Source organism: Homo sapiens, chromosome 16 (assembly GCF_000001405.40).
Source record: "Homo sapiens chromosome 16, GRCh38.p14 Primary Assembly".
Taxonomy (NCBI): Eukaryota; Metazoa; Chordata; class Mammalia; order Primates; family Hominidae; genus Homo; species Homo sapiens.
This window is the reverse complement of record NC_000016.10, coordinates 56,421,280-56,428,925: the sequence shown is the minus strand read 5'-3', so window position 1 is coordinate 56,428,925 and position 7,646 is coordinate 56,421,280. Positions and strand designations below refer to the sequence as shown.

At 46.4% G+C, this 7,646-nt stretch overlaps 1 protein-coding gene across 4 annotated transcripts in view, besides 1 other annotated feature; it reads left to right on the top strand.

Annotated features, from left to right (window-relative positions):
- Positions 2,981 to 4,040: a silencer, noted in NCBI's record as "silent region_7507". NCBI's record gives its function as "represses an Ori minimal core promoter by ATAC-STARR-seq in GM12878 lymphoblastoid cells {active_cell/tissue: GM12878}" and the evidence as "EXISTENCE:reporter gene assay evidence [ECO:0000049][PMID:35858748]".
- Positions 3,381 to 7,646, top strand: part of AMFR (autocrine motility factor receptor) — a 64,094-nt gene continuing 59,828 nt past the window's right edge. For 2 of the 4 annotated variants that reach the window (NM_001144.6, NM_001323512.2), the window contains exon 1: positions 3,381 to 3,853. In NM_001144.6, coding sequence (NP_001135.3) covers positions 3,599 to 3,853 — 255 coding nt within the window. In that variant the 5' untranslated portion in view covers positions 3,381 to 3,598. Of the gene's footprint in view, positions 3,854 to 3,936; positions 4,016 to 4,191; positions 5,257 to 7,646 lie in introns of those variants that run through there. The other 2 variants (NM_001323511.2, XM_005255890.5) reach the window with 2 other exon arrangements.

The window sequence follows — 7,646 nt, the reverse complement described above, 5'->3', positions numbered from 1 at the left end:
GTTAGCAGTGTTTCAGTTTCCTGAGGTGTGAAAGGGTCACTAGATTTGGAACATGAAGGCCACAAGTTAGAAGTTGCTACACAGTTGTGTTAACTGTGTGTAGTCCATATCATTGGGGACTGAGTCCGAGTTTCCTCATCTGTAAAGGGAGGGTTGACTCCTTTAGTTTTTTTTCTCAAACTTGCCTGGAATTCATAATGTTCTATGACACACACCATACCTGCTGCATATGTAATACTGTGTAATTCAATGTTATCTTAAATAGAAAGTTTACCCAAAATACGGGAATATATGTGTGTCTGATAAAACTATAGCCTTTTCAGCCTTTATATCTGAACAGAAGTGTGAATGAAACCTGATAGAAATTGAAAGGTTTTTTCTGAAAACTTTACTACTTGTGTATTTTATAGCAGGCACCAAAGATCTATGAAAAATAAATATGAAAGAAAAGCTACAAATGGAAATATATCCATTAGTTTAGTTTTTCCTCTAAAAACTTGAAGAGTTGGTTATTTTTCTCTCTGCTAGATTTAGCTGTGGAACATGGGTCCAGCTGATGAAACACTAGCATGCCATGGGAATACATTTAAAGCTACTGGATTAGATAGTGAAGTTCAGCTTCTAGGATTCTGAGAATCTTAAGCAACAACAAAGCCACCCAACCCGTCTCACATGATGGTGAATGAGGTCATGAATATGAAAGGACTTCAGATATTTTAAAAATGAAAATAGCATTGTATCTAGGTATGAATCTTACTCCACACAAACTGATTTGTCTGAAGTAATTATTTTATTCCCTTTAAATCAAACCAAGTCAGAACCACCATCCCACAAAGACGGCAGGAAATTAAGTCTATCAGTCATAATGGAAATGAAGGACCTATTTGAAGTCTCAAATCTGGAAGGCATAGTGTTATTCTGAAATCAAGGTTGTGGTGACGGGGGACCTCTAGCTTTCATCATGGACTCTATTGATTCTTGTCCAAGCAGGACCAGCCTCTCAAAGTCTGATGCTGTCATCTGTCTGCCACACTTGGGGCTTGGGACACAGCTGACAGGTAGCCCGTATGTTGATCTAGTCTCCCCAGGCACATTAAGCATTCATCCCTTTTGGGTCCTGCCTCCTTCCCAGTCCTCTCATGGAGTAAGATGCAGTTACCAAGAACTAGAAGTATTGGTTAAGAAGGCTTGTTTGGTTATTGCCAAAATGTCCTTCCTTGAGAACAACGGTGTGCAAAGTACCTTCTTGGAGTGTGTCTTGGAGTGGGAAAGGAAAAAGTAATGGTAGAAAAATTACTAATTCTAGTAAAAGATCCAAACACAAACGATTTACGTTCTTTTGGGTTAACTTCCCCCATTCATGTGAAGTTTCAGAAGGTTCAAGCTTCTAAAAGTTTAATAAGGGCAGATCTGTTAACAGCAGCCTGTTTCTAAGGGTGATGGGACAAATTTGGTTTGTGACAGTTTAGAACTACTGTGGCTAGGATTGAATAAAGATTGCCAGTCAGTGGTTTAAAAGTTATGGTGGCTCAGATCTTGACCTGTAAAGTAGAACACTTCCCTGGAAAATTACAATAGTTTTTCAAAATAAAGCTTTCCTTTATTTTACTGATAAAGTTTAAAGTTTAGCATTTTAATTGCATGGCTGTGGGAAGAGAACCAAAGTGAATTCAAGTCTAGTATTCATATAGACCTTGTATTAAAAAAATGCACGTGTGCAAAGGTAAGGCCTCTCCCTGTCCCGGTAAAGCCAAACGTTCATCAAAGACCCTTTAACAAGATGTTTCTAAAATTTCCAAAGTGGAATTGTAAGCTTGAGAGATCTTTTGTTTTCTAGTTAATAGACTTTTAGAATATTAGGCATGAAAAAGACCTTGAAAGATAATTTGGTCCTTTTCTTTAGAAAGTTTGGAAAATCCTACAAATATTTACAGAGCACCTACTCTGGGCTGAGAACTCTTACAGGCCCTGGGGATGCAAAAGGAATAAAACTCCCAAGGTAACATTTTTTTCCTTTGGTAACAGCTTATTGAGATACAATTCGCATATTGAGATAGAACTATTTAAAGTGTACAATGATTTTTCAATTCAGAGTTGGGCAATCATCACCTCAATTTTACATTTTCATTACTTTGAAAACAAACCTATCCCAGCCAGTGACTCACGCCTGTAATCCCTGCACTTTGTGAAGGCAAGGTGGGAGGATCACTTGAGCTCAGGAGCCACAGACTGGTCTGGACAACATAGCAAGACGCTGTCTCTACCAAAAATTAAAAATTAGCCAGGTGTGGTGGCATACGCCTGTAATCCCAGCTACTGGAGAGACTGAAGCAGGAAGATTTCTTGAGTCCAGGAGATGGAGGATGCAGTGAGCATGCCACTGTACTCTAGCCTGGGCCACAGACCCTGTCTCTTAAAAGAAACCTGCACCCTTTATCACCCCCTACTCCCCTCTTCCTCCCATCCCTAAGCAATCATTAATCAACTTTCTGTGTCTGTATATGTACTTGCCTATTGTGGACATTTCATATCAATGGAATCACACAACACGTGGACCTTTGTGGCTGTCTTCTTTGACTTAGCACGTGTTTAAGGTTCGTTCCTATTGTAGCATGTATCAGTAGTTCATTTTTATGGCCGAATAGTACATTTTATGGATGTATCACATTTATCCACTCATCGCTTGACGGACATTAGCGTTGTTCCCATCTTTTGATTGTTAGAATGTAATCAACATTTGTGTACAAGTTTTGTGTGGAGGTATGTTTCCACTTTTCTTAGAGGAGTGGAATTACTGGGTCAAATGGTCACTCTTGTTTGACTTTAAGGAAAGGACAGGTTATTTTCCAAGACAGCTGCACCATTTGACATTCTCACTTCTGGGGTATGAGGGAACACATTTTTATTTCCCGCTAAATCAGGTTCATTTTTTAGTTTCTGCTGGAGGCTACTAGCAAACAGCAGAAACTTGAAAGACTGTTAATATTCTTTCTTCTGGGGTTTCGGGCACCAGGGAAGCTGCGCGGCCCCTAGGAGTGCTGGGGGTAACCTCTTCAGAGGGTTAATGGGGTGGGGGGGGGGCAAGTGGCCGACGGCCTGGTGGCCAGGGTGCCCCGCGCCCTGAGGCCCTGCCCGCCTGCCAGCGCCTGCGAGCCCGAGTGACCCCTGCGCCGCGGCCGGAGCAGGTGCCCTCTGTGTCTGCGGGCCCAGCCAAGCCGTGGTGCGGACGGCGGATGATGCTGGGTGCCCGCCCCCCGGCCTGAGGCCCGGGGCTACGCCCGCTAGGCGGCGGCGCGACCGCTGGGGGCGGGGGACGAAGGCCGCGCCCCTGCGCCCGTCCCGCCAGCGTCCCGCTGGGGGCGGCGGCCTGTCCCGAGCCCGCCCAGGCTCTTCCGCGCCGGCAGGGGCAGCAGCGGGAGCAGCGCGGGGCGGAGCGGCGCCAGCAGCCAGGAGCGGCCCGGCCCGGCCCGGCGCGGCGGCGGCGGCGGCAGCGGCAGCGGCAGCGACGCCAGAGCCCGTGGGCGCCGTTCGCGAGGCCGCCGCAGAGGCCCGGCCGCAGCGCAGGGAAGCCTGGGGGCCAGAGGTCGCCGCTGCCGCCATGCCGCTGCTCTTCCTCGAGCGCTTCCCCTGGCCCAGCCTCCGCACCTACACGGGCCTCAGCGGCCTGGCCCTGCTGGGCACCATCATCAGCGCCTACCGCGCGCTCAGCCAGCCCGAGGCCGGCCCCGGCGAGCCGGACCAGCTAACGGCCTCGCTGCAGCCTGAGCCGCCGGCGCCCGCCCGGCCGAGCGCCGGGGGACCCCGGGCCCGCGATGTGGCCCAGTACCTGCTCTCAGACAGCCTCTTCGTGTGGGTGAGCGAGGCGGCCGGGCCCGCGGGGCAGGGGCGGGGTCCGCTGCGTCACCCTTTATCCGCGGGGGCGTGGTGGGCCTAGGGGCCCCTCCGCCAGGGACCCCCGAGGGCGAGCGCCTGGGGGGCGCGGCCTTGCTCGCGGGAGCGCTGCTGAGGGAGAGTGGTGAGGCGCGGGGAGGGGGAGGGGGCCGCGGGCGGGAGGAACATCGCGTGGGGTTGCGAGGAGGAGGCCCCGAGGGGCAGGCCAGCGTTGAGGGCTCCGGGAAGGGGGTCGGGGAGGCGGCGGGTGATGGTCTGCGCTGGGGCGCGGACGGGGCCTGGGGCAGGGGAAGGGGTTAAGGGGCAGTGGGGAGGAACGGGCTGGGTTTTCTGAGGGACCCTCGGGAGAAACTAGAAGATCTCAGAGGGCAGGTTCAAGGGGAGGTCGGGATCTGGGAGTGCGTTATCCCGAGGGTTGGACGAAGTAGAGTGAAGTTGAAAGCTTTTCCCACTTGGTCAGGCATGGGATTGTTAGCGGATTTTCTTCCGACGAAGAGGAGAGGGCAGAGGGGAGAATTCAGACGTTGAGTATGGGGGAATTTTCGGCACTCAGGTGTCTTTGGACATTCCGGTTGGAGAGAGGCCGTCTCCCACAACTTTTTTGCCGCTTAGTATTCGATTGTCCCCTTTGGGAGCTGTGTAATGAAACAAACACCAAACTGTGCTTCCTTTTCTGCTGCCTTTACCTGATGTTCATGACAGTTTTCCTTTGATGTCTGAACGCAGCAAAACATTCACAGTGTCAAGAGGCAGCCCATCATTTTAACTGAATGTTTCTTATTTGAGGATCTATTCTAACACAGTTTCCAGGTTGTCTGCCCCTGCGAGATAAGCAGCATTGATAAGGCACACATGCTGGTTTCGTTCATTAGAACAGATAATTTCAGACTGATCAGATCAACGGTATTTTGGCTAGAGAATTTTGCTTTCATCTTGGCCTTGAATACTTATGTAAATCCCGCAGTGATCAGAAAAGTTTCTCCAGGATTTAAAGCCTCACTTGGATTTAATATGGCTTCTTGGATCTTGTCTCCTTGCATGTTCCCATTTGGGGTTGAAAGTGGGCTGTAAATGACTGAGAGATTAATATTCCAAGTTGATAGTATGATATGCAACTCATTTGTTATAATTAGTCCCACTGTGCTTCATCAGGAAGCGGTGGGATTTATGGACTCTGTGGGCTGTAGATTAAGTCTCCTGGTCCTTCTGATGGAGAGTTTAGTAGAAGGCAGTGAAGGGTGAAGTTCCTGTTTATCTACTGCTGTGTAAAGCTGAACTTTACAGTCCTAAAGAAGGGAGAAGCGAAAGAACTCAACTCACATCTCTTGCTTAATTTCAAATCTGTTTTTGCATTTGAGTTAGCAGGTAAACAAAGTGATATGGAGAGTGTTTTTGCCATGTTAAGATTATAATGTAGTCTTTGATATTTTTTAAGTCTAAGATATAAATAAGCCTTTGAGAAGGAACCCTTATTTTATTTATATAACAACACTGGTATTGTTTAATGGATTTCCCCCCGCAGGACTTTATTTTGATAAAAGCCATGTTCAGATTCTAAAGTTAATATCTCTTCAGAAAACATTACATAAAAGCTGTTGATTTTTCTGTGATGATGATTACTTTTTAGGAAATTTCCTTTTCTTCCAGCATTTTCAGTAGAGGTCTTACCTCTGGCAGGTTTATCACTTCTTACTCTCCGCTGATGATATTTTCATTTCTCAGTTGATCCTAGTGCTGTTTTTCTTCCATCTTTCCTCTGGGGTCTCCACGTGTTTACTTTGGCCTGCTTTGGTTTCTCAGACCCTCCATGTGCTCACTGTTTGTCTCATCACTCAGTGTATATGTAGTTTCTGCTTTAGCAGCTGAGTAGAAGTGACAATCTCAAAAGCCTTCCCCAGTGGTGGGACAGATTAAGATTGTTGAGTGAATACCCTATGTGGTGGTGCCTTTGTCAACTGGATCCTCCTTGCGCCCTCCCCTAGTTCTATTGAATTCAGATTCAACTTTTTCACGAACACTGCCTGCCAAGGCCAAGCAAGACAAAACAAAGACTGATCCTTCTGCCAGTGCAAGTCCTGCTAGATATTAACATATTGTAATTCCCAAAACTTATCTTTTTAGAGCACAGTTTAGAATAATATCGGTCTGATAGCATCACAGGAGGTTTTTCATGAACAAACACAATTTAAAACCTTTCGAAGGTGTTATTTTGGGCACTTTGGAGGGCATATCTGTGAACAACACTTTCCCCTACCCTCAGTAATATGGCAAAATTTTATAGGGGATAATAGATAAATAAAATGAAGCAGAGTTTGGAGGAAAAAGAAAGGAATTGTGCCCAGGGAAGGGTTCATGGAAGGTGGTGTTTGAACCAGCTTGGAAGGTGGGAAGGGTCTCAACCAGTAGCAATGGGTATTCCAGATAGAGAAACCAGCATGTGGAGCTCGGTCTGGCGTGGGGAGGACAGTGCTAGGCACAGGCAGGGTGGTCCGGAAGCTGGGCTGTTAAATTAAAAGTCTGTTGAATCTTCTGATTTAAGAGGGAGGTTGAGAAGGTGAAGAGGAGACCGGGGGTGAAGGAGGTGGGGAGGAGGTGAAGGAGGTGGGGCAGGTGGCTCTGCTGTGAGAGGAGGAGGTGAGCAACCCCCTTGAAGGTTTCTTTCTCAAAATGTGGACCTCTGGCATCCTGGTATGTGGTCATCTGGGGTACTTGTAAAATGTAGTTTCCCTGGGGATCCATTTCAGAGAGAAGGGTGGAGCCTTGGAATCTTCATTTTAATGAATGCCCTAGGTGATTTGAGGAACACTAGTGGTTGAAAAACTGACCTAGGAAGAGGCTAGAGTGTGATGTCATGTAACCTTGACCTTGCTTGCTCTACCAAGTGTGGACAGTATTTTGTGGAGTGAGAGAAGCCATTGATGGGGCTTAAGTGGGGGTGGGGCATGGAGGAGTGGGGGTGCTGGCATGATTTCTTTTAGAAGATTGGGAGCAGTGTGGAAGATAGATTTATGTAGAGTGGGAAGAGGACGGGAGATCTAGTGACCTAAAACTTCCTCCTCCCAAGGGGGCCTCTCCAGGTGGCCCTCAGGCATGACATTGAGAAAGGATTTGGGAGGAGACTTCAGGGTTTTTACACTAACAAATATGTGGGTTTGACCTGAGAATTTGTTTCTCCTTGTCTTTCTAAAACTTCCATCCTAAAGTTTCATTTCAGATGAGTTTTTATTTTGTTACTCATTTCTGGGCTATTTTACATTGCTCAGATAATGCTTCCATTCAGCTACCTCTTGGTCCATTCTAGCATGGTTTTGGATTGTTCAGGTGTTTTGGCTTTTTCATTTTTTAATTCTTACTCATTACTTTTATTAGTTCCCTTTTCTGCTTTCTTAAATATCTGCTTCTAAAATTCTAAGAGCAAGATACGTGAATGGAGAAATAGAAATATGAAACTAATGTCAAGGTTCTGACTTAATTATGCAAATAATATCATTTAAATAGAACTCTCAAGGGGAAAAATGACCACAAACAAAAGTGGATAAAAGTGAATTGACCATTTAGAACAGGGATTGGCAAACTCGTGACCTATTTGACTAGGCCTGTTTTTGTCTTAACAGCTAAGAATGGTTTTTATATTTTTAAAGGGTTGTAAAACAAATTAAATAAATTAAGGAAGTTGCAGAGCCTAAAATATTCACTATCTGAGAGCACTTTAGAGAAAAATTGGCTGAATCCTATTTTAAAGAGCCGATTTTCGT